Source organism: Homo sapiens, chromosome 10 (genome assembly GCF_000001405.40).
Source record: "Homo sapiens chromosome 10, GRCh38.p14 Primary Assembly".
NCBI classification, from domain to species: domain Eukaryota; kingdom Metazoa; phylum Chordata; class Mammalia; order Primates; family Hominidae; genus Homo; species Homo sapiens.
The window spans coordinates 79446133-79465584 of record NC_000010.11 but is presented as its reverse complement, the minus strand read 5'-3'; the positions used below and the strand labels follow the sequence as shown (position 1 = coordinate 79465584).

The 19452-nt window shown below is 46.1% G+C and overlaps 1 long non-coding RNA gene across 1 annotated transcript; it reads right to left on the bottom strand.

The window, feature by feature from the left end:
* Window positions 1–10865: 10865 nt before the first annotated feature.
* Window positions 10866–19344, bottom strand: LOC105378383 (uncharacterized). The gene is made up of 4 exons (XR_946104.4): window positions 16739–19344; window positions 14496–14572; window positions 12105–12225; window positions 10866–11712 (listed from the first exon to the last, which is right to left on the bottom strand). It is a non-coding gene; the product is annotated as an uncharacterized LOC105378383 (long non-coding RNA).

Sequence of the window (19452 nt, the reverse complement as noted above, 5' to 3'; positions counted from 1 at the left end):
ATTACAGGCATGAGCCACCGTGCCTGGCCTTCTTTGTTTTTGACAGAGGGTTTCCTCTGTCACCCAGGGTGGAATCCAGTAGCCCGATCATGGCTCACTGCTGCCTTGACTTCCCAGGCTCAAGTGATCCTCCCAGCTCAGCCTCCCAAGTAGCTGAGACCACAGGTGCCCATCACCATGTCCAGATACTTTAAAAAAAATTGTTTTTTGTAGAGAAAGGGTCTCCCTATGTTGTTCCGGCTCATCTAGAACCCCTGGGCTCAAGCAATCCTCTAGCCTTGGCCTCCCAAAAGTACTGGGATTACAGACATGAGCCACGACATCCAGCCTTTTTTTTTTTTAATCAATGAGTTGTAATAGTTTTTTTTTTTTTTATGTATTGTGGCTACAGGTCCCTTCTCAGATATATGATTTGCAAATATTTTCTCCCATTCTGTGGGTTGCCCTTTCACCTCTTTGATAGTATCCTTTGAAGCACAAATATTTTATTTTAATTATTCTATTTATCTACTTTGTTGTCATTGCTTGAGTTTTTGGTGTCATATCTAAGATATATGTCTTTTTCCTTAAGTTCACATTCTTTCCATCTGTTGAGTTCTGGATTCTGCCTGATGTTTGCAAATGTCTTTTCTACCACTTGCATTTTGAACAAGCCTATCCGTCTCAGACTACAAATTTCCCCAGGGACAATGATCAACTCTGAAAAAAAAACTAAGCCCACACTGTGCAATTAATCGGAACTTTTAATGATGAACACAATAATGACCCAGTGGTCACTAAGTCCTCCCTTGGGTGTAACCTCATCTTGCAAAATAAATCCATTCTCTCTTCACAGGTTCTGAGGTGAACTTTGATGTGAAGGCCCCAGAGGATGGTAAGACCCTAGCACAATGGAGGGAGTCAAGAGTGGCCGCCCTGCTTGCAGCAAGACCATCAGTAGCAGGGCAGTCCACTAAGCCTGGCTTCCCATCAAGCAAGAGTGGCACTTTGTCCTAGGGCAATGGTGGTGGCTGGGAGCTGGCACTGCCTCTCTCACTCCATGGGAGAAAATGTACAGTCCCTAGGCAGGATCAAGTCCCTGTCACTATCAGGTCAGGCTGAGATAGTAACACAGGCAGGGCAGGCAGAAAACAGAGAACTGGGGAAGGCAGCTGCTCTGCTGCTGGTCTCCAGGGACACTCTGTGGGCTGTAGTGCTTTCTGGTCAGCCGACTTGGAGCTGACCGCTGTGGGAAGCTTGTCTCTGGGGATCTTCCCAGGCCAAACCAGGGCAAGCCAACCCCGAACCAAGCACATCTTCTGCCAGGAGACAGGGACCACAGCTGACCGGCCTCAGATTCCAGGCTGCCCACACCCATGGGCTTTGGCTGAACCCACAGGCACATTCAGACGGGTCATAGCTGTGAGAGCTCCCGCTGTGAGCCTGTACCCTGCTCCACAATACCCTCTGCCCTGGACCTCAGCACCAGGCCTGGCACACTCTGGGTGTCTGGGTTGGTAACTCCACAGTCCAACGTCCCTGCTAACTTCCTAGGCCATGGAAAGACTGTGGGCTTTGCATGCTGGATTACCATTTAATCCAGGTGTGAATTGGGGCAAGTCACTTACCACCTGTGAATGTCTGTCTCACATCTGGCAAAATGAGGTGTCTGGTGTCATAGGGTGGCTGTGAGAACAAATGAGGTAAGGGATATGCATTAGTCAGAGAAATGGAGCCAATAGAATATACTGATGTGGATATGTAAGAGGGGATTTGTGATGAGAATTGGCTCACGTGATTATGAAAGCCAAGAAGCCCCACGCTGTGCCACTGCAAGCTGGAGAACCAGGGAAGCTGACAGTATAACTCTCAGTCTGAGGCTGGAGGCCTGCGAATCTGTAGGAGGTACTGGTTTAAGTCCTGAGCCTGAAGGCCCCAGAACCTGGAGCTCCAATGTCTGAGGGAAGAGGAAGATAGATGTCCCAGCTGCAGAAGAGAGAGTGAATTCCCCTTTACTCCACCTTTTTGTTCTATTGGGCTCTCAGTGGATTAGATGATGTTCACATGGGTGTGGACGATCTTCCTAACTCAGTCTACTGATTCCAATGCTAATCTCTTCCAGAAACACCCCCGAGGACATGCAGAAATAATGTTTTACCAGCTATCTGGGCATCCCTTAACCCAGCCAAGTTGATGCCTAAAATTAACCATCACAGTGTATAAGGGTCTAATGTAATACAGAACTGACAAAATGGGCTGATAAATGGAAAATGTTGTCATCCTTAACCACAGAACCAATTTTCAGTCCTGATCTTCCTTTACCTGATGTCTTTCTGAATCTCTTCTTTAATCTCCTAAATTGGCATCTGTCAGCCCAGATCTTTCTCCTGAAGATTTGACTACCCAAATGGTCCCATACACATGAACCAGAAGTCTCAAGACATCTCAAACTCAGCACACCCATACTGAACTCCTCATTTCCCCATGAAAACTTGCGTGTCTTCCCACATTTGCAGTCTCAGTACAGCCCCATCATCCAGCCAATGACCCAAGCCAGAAAACTGGATGTCATCCTAGAGCTTTGCTCTCCTGAATTCCCCATATCCATTCAATCATCAGACCCTCTTAAACATCTCCTGATTCTGCCCTCCCCTCTCTGCTCCTGTGGCTCATCCACAGCACAGGCCCCCATCAGAGCTCCTTGTATCTCTTGTGCCAACTCCAGTCACAGTTTTGCCTCCCTCACTCCTCCCAAACTGCTTTCTTCAAGGTCCCTTGTGATATCCATGATGCTGAATCCAAGAGTCTATTCCTGGTCCTCATCTTTCCTAACCCTTCAACAGCATTTGTCACAGTGGATGGCTCCCTCCTCCTGAGATACCTTCATCTCTTAGTCTCCAGGACACTTCCTTTGCCTGGTCTCTCTCAAAGTCCTCAATCTGTTTCTTCTCAGGCTCTTTTGCTGGTTCACCCTTATCTCTCTAAGTCCTAAATACTGGCGTTCACTACTACTCAGTTCTTAACGTGTATTTTCTACCTATGCTCACTCCACGAGTAATCTCATCCTGTCCCAGGGATTTAAAGACCATCTATCTGTTAATGACTCCTAGCTCTAGCCCAGAACTCTCTCTTGAATTTTTGTATCTAATTGCCTACTTGATATCTCAGTTAGGATGTCTAACAGTATCTCAAAGGAGCCGTATCCAAGACTGAACGCCTAATCTTCCCTACAGACTTGCTCTCTGGCAGTCCATCTTCCCCACTTCAGTTAATGACAAGTCTATTCTTCCAGATGCTTAGCTTTAAAAAACATTGGTGTTATCTCTCATGCGCTATGAGAAATCTGTCAGGAAATCCTGTCAGCTCTACTTCTAGAACATATCCCGAATCCAACCATTTCTCACCACCTCACCAGCTACCTAGCTGTTTTCAGGCACCATCATCTCTTGCCTGGACTACCACAGTAGCTTCCAAAAGTATCCATACTTTCACACTCACTTGCTTCTAGTGTAAGTCAGATCCTGTCACTCTACTCTGAATCCTCCAATGCCTCCCCCTCTCCCTCTCCCTCTCAATAAAAGCCATGATCTTTACAGTGACCCAAAAGGCTCTACATGTGCCCCCATTTCCTCTCTAAATCTTGTCACCTTCTACTCTCCCACAGATCACACTTAACAGCATATATTTTGAACTCAGAAGCTGTTAATTATAGAAATGTGCATTATCGGTCTCAACATCATTCTTCCTTTCCTATTAGAATAAGAACCCTGGTTGTTAGATGGATATATTTGACCTGGAACAAAAGTCTACATCTCCCATATTCCCTTGCAATTAGGTATGGCCATGTGACTATGTTCTGGCCTCCAAGCTATCCTAGACATAATGGCTGGAGCTCCAACGCCATCTTGGACCATGAAGTGACATTAAGGACAAACTAGTGCATACGATATGGAGCAGAAAGCTTGGAACTTAGGGCCGGGCATGGTGGCTCACACCTGTAATCCCCCAGCGCTTTACATGGCTGAGGCAGGTGGATTTCTTGAGCCAGGAGTTTCAGACCAGCCTGAGCAACATGGCAAAACCCATCTCTATCAATAGTACTAAAAATTAGTCAGACATAGCTGTCAGACATGTTGGTCAGACAAATGCCTGTTGTCCCAGCTACTCAGGAGGCTGAGGTGGGAGAATCACCTGAGCCCAGGAAGTCCAGGCTTGTGAGCCGTGATTATGCTACTGCAATCCAGCCTGGGTGACAGAGTGAGAAAGAGAGAGAGAGAGAAAGAAAGAGAGAGGAAGAAAGAAAGAGAGAGAAAGAGAAATAAGAGAAAGAAAGAAGAGAAAGAAGAGAAGCTTAGAAATAGGGCCCCTGATGACACATGGAACTTTCACACTGGCACTAGAGGCCTATTTCCAGGTTGTTTTTATATTAGAAAAAAACTTCTGTATTGTTTAAGATATAATGAGTTTGAGGTTTTCTCCGATATGCAAATGGACCTATTTATAATTGATAGGGGAGTTGTAGTAGGCCCCTTCAAAAGATATCCACATCAAATTCCTGGAACCTCTCTGTCTGTCCTCAAATCCCTGGAAAGCTTCTTTGCACATATAATTAAGTTAAGGCTCTTAAGGTGAGATCATCCTGGATTATCTGGGTGGGCCCTAAACCCAATGACAAATGTCCTTTTAAAAGATACGCAAAAGAGAACAGACATACAGAGGAAGAGGTGACGTGGCCACAGAGGCAGACTGATGAGGTCACAAGCTTGCATGTCAAGGAATGTCAACAGCCACCAAGAAGCTAGAAGGGACAAGGAATGGATTCTCCTGTGGAGCTTCTGCTGGGCAGCCCTGCCGACACCTTGGTTTCCATTTGTTATAGCAGCTACAGAACACCAATACAGGATTCACCAACGCAAAGGTCATTGGAACAATGAAACTGGATAAGGTACCTCTGAGAGATTTCAGTATCCTGAAGAACCAACATTTAAGGCTTGGAAGAACAAGGCCTGCAAAGGATATTGCCAGGCAGTGGTCAGAGAGGAGGAACTGTGTTAGTCTGTTTGCATTGCTATAAAGTAACACTAGGGACTGGGTAATTTGTAAAGAAAAGAGGTTTATTTGACTCACAGTTCTGCAGGCTGTACGTGAAGCATAGGGCCAGCATCTGCTTCTGGTGGAGACTCAGGAAGCTCATAATTGTGGCAGAAGGCAAATGGGAGCCAGTGTGTCACACGGCAAGAGAGAGAACAAGAGGGAGCAAGAGATGGGGGAAGGTGCTAGGCTCTTTTAAAACATGAGATCTCACATAATGAGAACTCACTCATTACCACAAGGATGGGACACAGCCATTTATAAGGGATTCACTCCCATGATCCAAACACCTTGCCCCAGGCCCTGCCTCCAACATTGGGGATTATATTTCAACATGCAATTTGGAGGGGACAAACATTCAAACTGTATCAGAGGCCAAGGCAGTTCCAGGCTGAGTGAACAGCAGTGTCAAATACTGCTCAGGTCAGAGCTGGTGTGGCCAGTGAACTGGGAAATTTAACATCAGAGGGGGCAATCTTGACTTTCCTCAAAGCATTCTCAGTGGAGTGGTAGGAGTAGGAGTGAGGTCCAGAAGATTTGGGGATGAGTGAGTGGCTGAGATGGGAAAACAGCAAGTGTAGAAAACTCATACAAGTTTGGTTGTGAAGTGACAGAAAGAGTAGCTAGAGAAGTGGAAGGATTTTCCTTAGCTGGTAGAGATCCAGGGATGCTCCATTGCTTATGAGGGGACAGGAAAGAGGGGAGGGTTGAAGATATGGGATGAATGACAGGGAAGAAAGCATTCCCAAACACAGAGGAGGTCCCCCAAAATGGATCCTGATACAGGTAAGTGGAAAGGTTTGTGGCAGAATGTTGAGAAACCATCCATTCAATGGCTTCTGTTTAGTCTCTGATATGAAAGACAAAGTCACCTGCCCAGATGGATGAAAAGATAGTGGGATAGAAAACTGGAAAAAAAACAAAAAAGGGAAAAAGGTTTGAAATAGCCTTTGAGAAGCATGAAGAGAGAGCTGGAGGCTTGCTGAACTCTGCTGAGAGCCAGTGGAAGCTGGAGACTGATAATTTAATGCCCCCAGCCTGTGTGATTGTGCAAGGTTCTCCAGCAGCCCTTGACAGCCAAGGCCAGTATGGAGAAGGCAGAGAACGGATGAATCTACACTGGACATTTTCCAGGCAAGTGGGGTGGCTCCTCTAGCCCAGGCCAATGGGACTAATGGGATGCTGACAAAAGAAATTGACAAAATGTACCAAGACATGTAGGGTAAATAAGAAAAATAATTATTTTTAAATAGAAGTAAGAGGAGTTGGAAGGACTGGAGTTATGATCAAAGAGATATGTTTGCATTTTTCAGTGTCAGAGGTGGGGCGGTTCTGCGTGTGGCCAGGAGTACTTTGAGGACTGGAGTACAGTGGAAGTAACAGTCCCTAGAGATGAGGTAGTTAAGGAACGAAGAGGGCAAAATGGTGATAAGTCATCATATAATTTATTGTCCACTTTTGAAAGTGAAAGGAAGCATTATTAATTGATCATTCACCCCAGAATAACAGGCATGAGTCTGGACTGTCCTGAGCAAACCAAGACATATGGTAATCCTAATGCTTAGCCATTCGGGCTGATTGCAAGCCTCAAGGTGGAGAAAATGACAGTGCCCTCGTGTAAAACTATAAGGGACTGACGGGGCTTGCAGGCAGTTGAGTGCAGAGTGTGGGAAGTGGCGTGGCCAATGGCAAGAGGCTGGCCAAGCAGGGATTCTACAAGAGGGTGGGGGAGCTTTGGTGGGAAGCTTTGCTGGGGCAGGTGGAGGACAGAGGTCCCATCTCCACATCTCCTGGAGGTTGTTAATCTGCAGAATGAGAGTTGCTCAACCTCATGCATGTGTCACACTTTTTCCTACTTTCCCAAGCACTTTTATTTTTCCTAGCCTCCTAACTTTCTTGAGCGTTATCTACTGTGCTTCCCATTTTCAGAAACTGAAACCAAGGCGGAGGATAGTTTAGGTGATGACCCAAGGCAAACTGAGGAAACTCCAGAAGCAGAGCTGCCAGACAAAATACAGGACACCCAGTTAAAATGTAATTTCAGATAAACAACAAATAACATTTTTTTGTATAAGAATCTCCCAAATATTGCATGGGACACATTTCTACCAAAAAAAGTTATCCGTTGTTTATCTGAAATTCAAATTTAGCTGGGCATCCTTGTTTTTGATTTGTTGTTGTTGTTTTGCTAAATCTGGCAATCCAAAAAGAAAGGGGGCAGGCCAGAATGGCTGAATAAATCAGAGAGCCTTGTTAGTAGCCTCGGAGGCTGGGAGGGCAGGGACAGGCTCAGGTGCTCTCAGCTATGCTCAGGTGTAGCTGAGAGAAGACTTGAATGGCTTTATTTTTTTTTAATGTTTTATTTTTATGAGTTCGTAATTGGTGTTTACATTTGTCAGGTACATGAGATATTTTGATACAGGCATATAATGCATAATTATCACATCAGGGTGAAAAGGATATCTATCCCCTCAAGCGTTTATCATTTCTTCGTGTTACAAACCTTCCAATTATGTTCTTTTAGTTATTTTTAAAAGTGCAATAAATGATTGTTGACTGTCATCACTCTGTTGTTCTGTCAAATTCTAGATTTTATTCATTCTAACTATATTTTTGTACCAATTAACCATCTCCATTCCCCCTAGAATGGCTTTCTGCTCATGGCCATGTCACTTGCAGGTGAACAGATAGAGCCTCAGAGCCAATAATGAAAGTCCACATCCTCTATTTGAATTAGATCCTCATCCAGCTCTGGGAAGTAGGCACAGCATAGACTCCTATACTCAAAGGTTCCAGGAGAGATTTGCTGAGCTTCTAGAGTCAAAGCCCACCAAGGAAGGGGCCTTAGGGAAGGACGCCTGTTCATGCATGGTGGGTGAAGGTGCAAACCCTGGAGCCCACCCAGCAGGCCCCATGGAGCATGATGACAAGACTGCGCCCTGGCACGGGATCAGCAAGATTGGCCTTCTCACTAACAAAGTGGTAGGCAGGGTGCAAGGAGAGGGGAGTCATCACTGTGGAAGGAGGGAGAGGCAGGGAGAAGAGAAATGACCAAAGCTTAGGTCAGCTAGTAAATCATTAGCCTTCACCAGAACGCAGAAGCTTGGTAGATCATTGCTATAGGATAATTAAATGAAATAAAAAACAGCAAAAATAGATCAGGCTCAGTGGCTCACGCCTGTAATTCCAGCACTTTGGGGGGCCGAGGCGGGCAGATCACTTGAGGTCAGGAGTTCAAGACCAGCCTGGCCAATATGGTAAAATCCCGTCTCTACTAAAAACACAGAAATTAGCCAGGTGTGGTGGCATGCACCTGTAGTCCCAGCTACTCAGGAGGCTGAGGCAGGAGAATCGCTTGAACTCGGGAGATGGAGGTTGCAGTGAGCTGAGATCACACCACTGCACTTCAGCCTGGGCTACAGAACAAGACTCCATCTAGGAAAAAAAAAATAAAAAAAAAAAACAGCAAAAATAAAATACAACAAAATAAAATAAAATAACAAAACAAAAGCAGCCCCCAACCTTTTTGGCACCAAGGACCGATTTCATGGAAGACAGTTTTTCCAGGGACAGCACGGGTGATGGGTTTTGGGATGGTTTTGGGATGATTCAAGCACATTATTACATTTATTGTATACTTTATTTCTGTTACTATTACATTGTAAAATATAATGAAATAATTATAGAACTCACCATAATGTAGAATCAGCGGGAGTCCTGAGCTTGTTTTTTGTTGTTGTTTTTTTTTTTTTGCTATTAGACGGTCCCATCTGGGTGTGGGATATGATGAGGTTTTTCTTCAAATAATCTGATCAATCTCTTATTTTTTAATTCATATATTCCTAACATGGGGGTGATAGGAGACAGTGACAGATCATCAGGCATTAGATTCTCGTAAGAATACTGCAACCTAGATCCCTTGCATGTGCAGTTCACAAGACAGTTTGTGCTACTATGAGAATCTAATGCTGCCACTGATATGACAGGAGGCAGAGCTCAGCAGTAATGAGAGTGATGGGGAGCCGCTGTAAATACAGATGAAGCTTTGCTTGCTCTCCTGCCATTCACTTCTTGCTGTGCAGCCCAGTTGCTAACAAGCTATGGATCGGTACTGGTCTGTGGCCTAGGGGCTGGGGCCTCTGGCTTAAGAAATACATCGTATGTCATGATCAGGCATACTAAATATGTATACAAGTGAATGTCTTTTTTTAAATGACACAAAAGTATCACAAACAATACTTGTGTGATGTATTCTGATAGACTCAATTCTTCCATTTAATTCAAATAAAAATCTGATCATGACCCATTAAGTTGATTTCACAACCCACTAATCAGTCAAACCTACAGACTGCACTGCTTTAAAGATACTATTCTCGCTGTTGGGTATAAAATACATTGTGGGGGTCGTGGGGGTAGGCAAGAGAAGAGGCAGGAAGCTCAATGAGGAGGATATTGCACAAACTCAGGCACAAGCAGATAGCAGATTGGAGCAGGATGTTGGTGGTGGGGGCAAAGGCCGGTGGGCACTCTGTGTTTTAGAAGCAGAATGTGCAGGACTTATTAATGAATTAGATGAACAAGAAGGAGGAATTAGTGATGACTTTGTTTTTGGTTTGGGTCGCTGGGGGAACAGCGGTGTTGATTACTGACATGGATTTGCCTGGGGAAAGGAGCTGATTTGCAGGTAATTGAGAGTTCTGTTTGGGCTGTGTCCATTTCAATGCAATCTCACCCATTTTAATTTTTCCTGCTCTAGTCTTAGAGTCAGCTGGAGATAAGTACATAGCAGGTAGAGAAAAAACCCATAGTGAAATGTTAAGGAAAATAGAAAACTTAGTTAACATCTACTCAGGGCTTACTCTGTACCAGGCAGTGTTAAAAGCATTACACATATTCATTTAATTCTCAGGATAATGCTATGAAATAGGTGCTATCGTTGTCTATGTTTTACAGAAGAAGCACAGAAAGGTTACTTTCCTTGTCTTCAGTTGCATAGCAAATACATGAGCTGAGATGTGAACCAAGTCTGCCTGATGACGAAATGTTATCGGTCTGTCAGGGAAAGAGGTACTCAATCTCTTGGAGTAGAATGAATCTTTTTTTATGAATTTTGACTTGGAAAGATGTTCACATTATATTGCAGAGTTGAAACACAAAAGTAGGATTCAAATCAGAAAAAGCAGCTTCTGATCCATTTTTACAGTAAAAGTTAAAAACATGTCTATGCATAGATAAAAGACAAGAATTATGTATATTACAAAATTAACACAGGTTCTCACTCACTGATGGGATTAGATAGCTTAAATGTTTGACAGTGATCATATACAGCCATTGTAAAATAATATATTTTAAAATAGAGAAAGAAATGGAAACAGTGTTCGGCATATCTAGCCTGTCTGTGACACAGACTTATGGCAGCAAAGTGCCTCAGAGGACAAGTGCGCATTGTGGTGGAGGCCACTGAAGATGTGGGCAGTCATCCTGGTACTCCCTATCTGCGGATCACTGTGTGGCCTTGGGACCACAGGGTCCTCAGAGTGGTATCTCAGGGAAAGTACCTGCAGCAGTGGTGTCTTGGTAAATCTTTAACCACCAGCTCTCTAAAAAATAAAACATCCTTGATTTGCAGTGTTCGCTGATTTCTATGGCATAAAAACTACCAGTTTCAAGTGCAAATTGAGAAAAGATGAACAATAGTACACAAGTATATGGTATTTCCACCATGTAAATACAATATGTAAATTACCTCCAGAGGATAGTTAACAGTAAAATGCAATAAAGTAAATAGGACATGATGAGTTAGGAGTGTTTATTACTTTTAAAAAAGTATAAATTATTTAGTTGCAATCTCATATCATCTAATTTTTAATAATGACTGTGTTTAACAATTGGCTTACAAGATTCCCCGAAATTTAGCAATTGGCTCTAATGAGTCAGTATGAGCCTGCCCCAGCACACCACTGCCTCAGAGCCTTTTGGGCTTTGTCCAAGATCAGAAGGAGCTATGTGCCTGCTGAAGCAACTGAAGGAGGGAACCTCACCGCCGGCTCCTTTGCCCCACAAGGCATCTCGGCTTGAATCTCAGTCCGGAAGGAGAGAGAGGAAGGAGCATAGGAGAGGACTCCAACCAGGAAAGCCAGTAGCAGGAAGGGCTGGCAGCATCAATGTTATCATGGGAGCTGTTTTTCTCTGTCTTATCAATGGCAGAGACAAGGGAAAACAATACCTCTGACTTGATATCACTTTGCGAGCCAACAGGAAAACCCCAGAACCATGGGTCTGCAATGGCTTTGCCAATCTGGGTGGGTCAGGATTCCTTTCCCATCTCTGAGTTCTTGCCTTCTGCCTGTCTCTGCTTTCTATGCTCCAGTATGCTGATTACATAGCTCCGAGTCTCAGTTTCTCCTCTCTGAAATGGCCCAACTTGGCAGGTCCTGGAGAATTCAGGGGCATAGCTGCCTGTCTCTCACTGTGAAGACCATGGCAGAAGCAGGGCAAGCATTTCTGCTCCTTGGCTCTGTGTGACCGTCCTCGACACCACCCAGTTTCCATATCATCTTCACTTTGGGAGCTGTGTAGGCACTGAAAACATCATCCTCCATCAGCAGATTTGGAAACTGAGGTCCAGGGAGGTCAGGGAACCTGTTAAAATGGCAAAAGAACCAACTGCACACACATTTCATAAAATAAAAAAGTGGGAGATCAAGTGTTGCAGAGAGTGTGAACCTATAGGATTTCTTATGCATTACTAGAGAACATTAGTAGTATCTTGGAAAGGTGAACATGCATATATTCTACAATGTAGCACATACACTGAACAGATATTGTTGCAAATGTAGGTCAGGAAGAGTCATAGCAGCAGTGTTCACAGTTGCAAGAACCATCAACAGGAGAATAGTTGAATAAACTGTGGTTGAGTCACACAACGGATGGAATACAGGAATCTAAATCTAAATGAACCAATGAATGAATTACAGCGGCATACCTCAATGTGACTAAAATTTAGTAGTATGGCCAGGTATGGAGGTACATACCTATAGTCCAGCTACTCAGGAAACAGGTGGGATTGCTTGAGGCCAGGAGTCCAAGACTGTAGTGCACTACGATTGCACTTGTGAATAGCCACTGCACTCCAGCCTGGGCAAGATCCTGTCTCTAATTAAAAAAAAAAAAATAGCAGTACAAAATTAAGTGAAATAAGTAAGTCATAAAGATTCTATACAGCATGATACTCTTTTAAGAAAGTTAAAGAACAAATTAAAAATATCTATTTTTAGAATGCATACAGATTAGATACAATTAAATAAATATGAAAGCAAGGGAGTGATTCCAGATGGTGATTATGTCAGGTTGGAGGAACCTAGGAGATGGGCTAGGGATAGATCTCATATGTAGATATAAGTTATTGTCAGGGTTCTCATTTTTATGGTGGCTGGTTTGTACAGGGACTATAAGCAAACAATTAAATAAAACATAATATTATGAAGAAGGATTATGGTTAACTCCCTTCTGTGCCCCTGGGCTGGGGGGAAGAAGAAGGCTGGCATTGAGAATCAGACTTGGCTGGTGCCACTGTCTGGTTTTCAGGGGGACAACTGAAAATCACAGAACCAGAAGTCATGTGCTTTCCCCTTTCAGGCCTCAGTTTTCACATCACTAAAATTAGGTTTTGGGATCAGGTCATCTTTGAACTCCTTTATTAGCTGAGATAGAGCAGGCCCTGCTGCAGTAACAGATAAGCCTCCCCATCTCAGGGGCTGTACACATCACAGTCTGGGAGACCACCCTGGTCAGCTCACCTACAACACTGATTTAGAGATCCGGACTCTTCTGTCTTAGAGTCTTTCACCTCATGGATGGGAGAGAGAAAGCGTGGAGAACCCACACCCACTCTTGCCAACTCCCAAGAGTCACGCTGTTCCTACTCACCTTCTTGCTGAGAATGCACAGCCCCCACCCCACTGCAAGGGAAGCTGAGTGAGAAGGGAAGAGGACTTGCCTGCTCAGGGAACACCGACCCTCCCTGCCCGAGCTCCCTGCGTGTCTGTAATCCTCACAGTCTCCGGGATGTTCCAGCCCAGATTCGACAGTCTCCTGTTTCTGAGTCTACAATCCACAAAGGCTTTCTGAGTTTATTCATTCATTCCTTAAGTAAACAGAGGGCCTGCTCTGATCCAGCACTGGGTTAGGCCAAGGAGCTTATCACTCCTTAAAAAGCTCATAGTCCGGGGGTGAGTGCTGGTGGGAATGGAGGAGAAGGGAGGACTGACCATTTTACAAATGTCATCATATCGTGTGAACGCCCCATAGTCAAAGATAAAAGAGAGAATATCTAATGGGTGTGTGTGATGGGGGAGGAGGTTGTGATCACAAAAGGCTTCTTTCAGAAAGTCAGTTTTTCAGCTGGGTCTCTAAGTGTGAGAGGAGACTGCCAGGAAGACTAAAAGAAGGGGCTCTTCCCAGTAGGGGAACAGCAAGTGCAAAGGCATGGAGGCAAGGAAGGCCTTGCACGCATGGGAAAGGCCAGTTATTTCATTTTGCCGAAGGTGGGGTACACATGGTGTAAGGGTTATGGGGGTAGGTTGTACTTGCCATTAGGGTAGAAGGGTGATCAGGAGTCAGATGCTGAAAGGCCATGAATGTTTTGCCCAGTAGGTGTTTGGATTTCATCCAGTGGGCCACCATGGAAAGATTCCAAGTAGGCAAGGAAGGCTAAGGGATGACTGGAGTGGCAGTTTCAGGCCCTACCAAAGTCTCCATTAGCCAACTTTCCTTCTATTCTTTGATGTAAGCAAGGCTTTTCTCAGAATAATGTAGAGAACTTTGCACATTCAACTTACAGCGAGTGTCTTAATCCCATCTCCCAAACAGATATCCCACTAACCTAAATACATAGAAATTCCAGAGCCATTCTCCTCATCACCCACAAGAGGACAAGCTCACATTTTGATCACTGGCTGCGACCCACTAGGCATCATGTGGAGTGACCAGTTACCCCTGGAGGCCTGGGGTCTCTCCGCAGGTTGAGGTTTGCTAAGAGGCTACTGATAAAATGTACAGTAGTTCCCCCTTATCCGTAGTTTTGCTTTCCATGGTTTCAGTTCTCTGCAGTCAACTGCAGTCCAAAAATATTAAATGGAAAATTCCAGAAATATACAATTCAGGAATTTGAAATTGCGCGCCATTCTGAGTAGCGTGATGAAATTTTGTACCGTTCCACCCGGGACGTGAATCATCCCTTTGTCCAGTGATCCACGCTGTGGACGCTGCCTGCTTATAAACATTGTCCACTCCTGACATCCAGTCATTGACCTCAATAGGGCTCGATGGTCTAGTATCACCAGAAGCAGATGAGCCTCCTTCTGACATGTTGTCAGAAGGTCAAGAGCGGCCTAATGCAACATCATAATGCCCATATCACTCACCTCACTTCACCTCATCAAGCAGGCACTTTAACATCTCACATCATCATCATAAGAAGGGTGATACAGTACAAAAAAACCTTTAGAGAGAGAGAACACATTCACATAACTTTTATTACAGTATATTATTTTAATTGTTCTATTTTATTATTGTTAATCTCTGCCACTACTTTTTTTTAGATGGAGTCTCGTTGTGTCACCCAGGCTGGAGCACAGTGGGGCAATCTCAACTCACTGCAACCTCCTCCTCCTAGGCTCAAGCGATCCTCCCACCTCAGCCTTCTGAGTAGCTGGGACTATAGATGCACAATACCATGCCTGGCTACTTTTTTGTACTTTTTTGTACTTTTTGTAGAGAGGGTGGTTTCACCATGTTGCCAGGCTGGTCTTGAACTGCTGGCCTCAAGTGATCTTCCTGCCTCAGCCTCCCAAAGTGCTGGGATTACAGGCATGAGCCACCACACCCGACCTGTTAATCTCTTAATGTACCTAATTTATAATTTCAATTTTATCGTGGGTATGTATGTATGTATAGGACAAAACATTGTGCGCGTGTGTGCGCACGTGTGTGTGTGTGTGTGTGTGTGTGTGTGTTTCAGAACTACCTGCGATTTCAGGCATCCACTGGGAGTCTTGGAATGTATTCCCCATGGATAAGAGGGGGCTACTATGTGATTGCTGCCCGTAGCTCCTATATGACATTAGACACCACTTTTCTGAGGATGGTTCCTCAGGGAGCAGGAAGCCCACTAGGCCTGCTCCAGTGACTTCTAGGTCCAGGGTGTTCTGCCAGTTTTCCCAGACCACACACAAACCCTAGGCTCCTCACACCCAGGCTGGGACCCCTCATGCCCATGTCATACTGTCCAGCCATGAAACCAAGCAGGCATTCTCTTAGGGCTTCTAGAGGCCAGGGCCCTCAAAGTGTCTCCTGCCTCCCCGTGTCATCTGGGATTCCAACAGCAGTGGGAAGATTTTATACACTAGGAAATGGTCCAGGGGAGGAGACTCAACTTGTCAGTGTCACACAGCCCAGGAAGTGACAGTCTCCAAAGCCCCAGGCACTTTCCACACCTTGGAACCTGCAAGGAGCGGTAGGCTGAGTTTAAGATTCAAGGACCTACCCACCCTTTGCTGCTCAAGATAAACTTAAAGGCTACTCAAGAGCCTGTGGGTGGGGCCTGGAGTGGTCAGACTGCCCTTATGGTTTTGCCATCTGTGCACTGCACAAAGAAGTTGGGGGCTAGTTGGGGCTGAAATCTGGTTAGTGTAAACAGCAGGGCTGCATCCATGGAAGGAGGAGGTACTCTGTGTGTGTGTGTGTGTGTGTGTGTGTATGTAAAGGTGACTTGAGAGAGAGAGTGTGTGTGTGTGTGTGTGTATGTGTGTGTGTAAAGGTGCCTTGAAACCTGGATTTTAGCTCACTGGGTTGGTTCTATGGCAAAAAGAGCAATTACTTTTGCACCAACCTAATAATTCTGCACAGTCACCATAGGGTTTAGAGAGCAGCCTGGGAAGGTGGATATAAAGTTAACATGGCAAATAATTTGCGTCTTCAGGGCCAATTCCAGCATCTCATTAGTGGTGACGTGGGGTGCTGTATTGAGCAGGAACCTGAAGTCTTGCCTGGGAAGGGGATCCGCACTCAGAGAGGTCTGTCCTGGGTGGGGGATGGGGCAGTGGTGCCTGTAAGGAGAGTATTTGCCATTTTGCCATCTCTGCTGTAAACTGACACCTTCTGTGTCAACACACAGTCCAAAGGAACCCAATGCCCAGCCCTGGCCTAAAGGAGAGGCAAATCTTAGCTTTGTCAGTGTGTGCTTTGCTATTTATTCCTGACACATGGAGTGTGGGTGGTTTGAAGAGGGTTAGGGGTTCCTTCACCTGATAAATCACCATGGGGCGTTTTTTACAGAAATGAGAAGCATCAATTTGCACAGGATTGTGAAGCCCCATCTTCTGCCCCTGCTCATCTCTGCTTGCCTCCTGGGCTGAATTTGAAGGCTGACTCCCTCATAAAGACCAACTGCTTCCTCTTCTTGCCCAGGTTTCTCCTGCTTCTCTGAGCTCAAGGCTCTTGGTTTGATACTCCACCAAACACTTATCAGACCTGTTACCTGGGCAACTTTAGGAGCAGACTTTTTCCTACTTGTCCCCTCCTGCCCACATTTCTCCAGATAAATTGAATATTACTGTTACTGCAAGTATCAATATCACCCTCCCGTCACGCATGACTGCCTACTCACTCAGGGAACAGCAAAGCTCCTTCCTCTTTGCATCCTCCTTGGATCCTGTCAGTCACTGTAGAAGTTGGTAAGGATGGGATCAACATTCCCATCTGATACCTGGAAAAACTGAGGTTTACAGAGAGGGCAGGCCTACCCAAGGTCACTGGGCCAGGTCTTTCCTCCAAATCTTGTGTTCATTCCACTGACCCATTCTGGAGACTGTGGGATGGCTGGAGCCACTGGACAGGGAAGGGGACAGGGATGTGAGCCTCACCTGGGTGCTCCCTCCTGCCTTCCAGTCTGAGGACAGTATATGGGGCCAGAGCTGCCACACCTGAATGCTGCCACACTGGGATCAATGAAGAGAGAGCTGGGAGGTAGTAGTGGGTTAGGAGCAGGTGGCTTAGCTATCAGGTTTACTGAGAGACCCTGGGATGGTTCTTTTCCTTCTCTGGGCCATGGTACCTCCTCCTTTGTAAAGTGAGGGCTTGGAACCTCTGACATTTTAAATGCAGAGTTCCTTAGTGTGCACATGATAGGGCAAGAAGGTGCAGAGTTTGGGCGTGGCCCGGTCTTCTGGCCTGGTACCTAGGCCTCTGATACCCATCTGGTCACTCTCACCTATTACCCTCTCCCACCGTACATGTTGTTTCAGGGGATCCTGGAGCATGCATTCCCAGCAGCTGGCTGAGGGCTGACCTTAGGTCAATCAGTTGCCATCCAGGCAAACTGCCTATAGGATGCTCATATTTATTAGTCACCTACTGGGTACAGAGCCCACATGTTGAGCAGCTGTCCTGTGGGCAAGGAGAGGGAGAAAAGTACAAAACCAAAGAAGCCGCTCAGGCTTCAAAGAGGAGCAAAATCTGGGCATCCATGCGTCTCTCCACCTATTCATTCAATCATCAACCCAGCAACTATTTCCTGATTATTTACTATCTATGCTCCAGGCTCTGGGTAGAAACTATGTTGGGGAGAAAGAGGCAGAGGCCATCAATGTGGTCACCAGGCATGATAAACACCTTCTTGGCATCAAATCACTCTGAAGGACACAGGGAAGGATCAGAGGTTTCTCTAAGCAGGTGTCAGATTCCTAGTTATGTCCCCTCCCTGAACAGCAGTTTTCTCTATAAAATCTAGGGAAGGTCTTATCAGTGGTTCCAAATCCTACCTCCATCCTTGGAAGCTCAAAGACAGCAGCAGAGTTCCAGAGATAATCCCAACTATTTCTTTTGGTGTGGGGGCGGGGGGTACAAAGTTTCACTCTGTTGCCCAGGCTGGAGTGCAGTGGCATGATCTCGACTCACTGCAGCTTCCACCTCCTGGGCTCAAGTGATCCTTCCACCTCAGCCTCCTGAGTAACTGGGACCACAGGCATGCGCCACTACGCCCGGCTAATTTTTGCATTTTTTTGTAGAGATGAGGTTTTGCCATGTTTCCAGGGCTTGTCTGGAACTCCTGGGCTCAAGCAGTCTGTCTGCCTTGGCCTCCCAAAGTGCTGGGATTACAGGTGAGCCATTTGCAAGAACCGTGTACCTACTCTTTAAACAAATAGGTTTAATACTGTTTAAAAATATAAAGGGTACTGTATAGATGTGTTCTTGATGAATGAAAATATGAAGACATGATTGATACATATGCTGTCGTTTGTATTAATAACTGCAAATTGATAGACAAGATGGAGATCTGAGATCCAAGGGCCTCTTGGTTGGTGAAAAAGGGTGGCATTTGGTCATCACTGAAGGCCTTCGTGGTGCGAGCGACCATAGATGTGGTTAGGTGCCCTGCAGGTGATGTGAGTAACTCGTGGAGTGGGTGGCGGGGAAGAGCTGTCCTTTATGGAATATCTTCCGCTTACCAAACCCAAGCTGGGAAGCACACAAATGTCCCCGGCGGCGGGAGGATGACTGCTCCCATTTTACAGAGGAGAAAACAGGCTTGCTCGCAGAGGTTAGGCGTCATGCAGAGGTCATTCCGCTGGACGGTGGCCAAGCTGGCACTCCAACGCTGGGCGGAATGGCTCCAGAGCCAGACTGAAAGTGGGAGAGGTGACTCGGTCCCAGCCAGGCGGTGAGTTCCTCTGGGCTAGGTCCCCGGTGCTGGCGCAGCAAAGACCACCCGGAGAAAGAGACGGTGAAGGCCCCGGGGCTTCCTGGGGCGTCAGGCGGAGGCGGAGGCGGGGGCGGGGCTCCCTCCAGGCAGTCTTGGACTAGCTGAGTTGTCCCAGCGAGATGGGTGACAGCCGCTTTCCCGAGCTCCCCCGGCCCAGGCTGGTGTCCTGGCGACTCGCCAAGGCACCGGGGCGGGCTAGGGCTGGAGCCGGGGTGGAGGAAGAGGGTCGAGAAGCGAGGCGGGCCCAGAGCAGAAATAGGAGAAGGGGGGGGGGAGGGGGCGGGGAGTCTTTCCTGGGGCAGGAACCCGGGCCCCCCTTGGCGCAGCCGGCCCGCAAAGTGATTCTGCAGATGGAAGGAATTAAGTAGGAGGGGGAGGGTCCGATGGTGATAGCGAGAGGAGGGAGTTAGAAGTGTGTGCGTCTGTGTACACGCGTCTGAGAGAGGAGCGGGAGAGACAGGGAGAAACATCAGACCAGACGGAAATAGAAGAAAGGAGACAAGAAGAGTGAGAGAAAGAGAAGGACATACACACACACACACACACACACACACACACGGAGGGCGCCACATACAAGGACGACGGACACAGGAGACTAGTACTAGTCTAAGAGAGAGAGA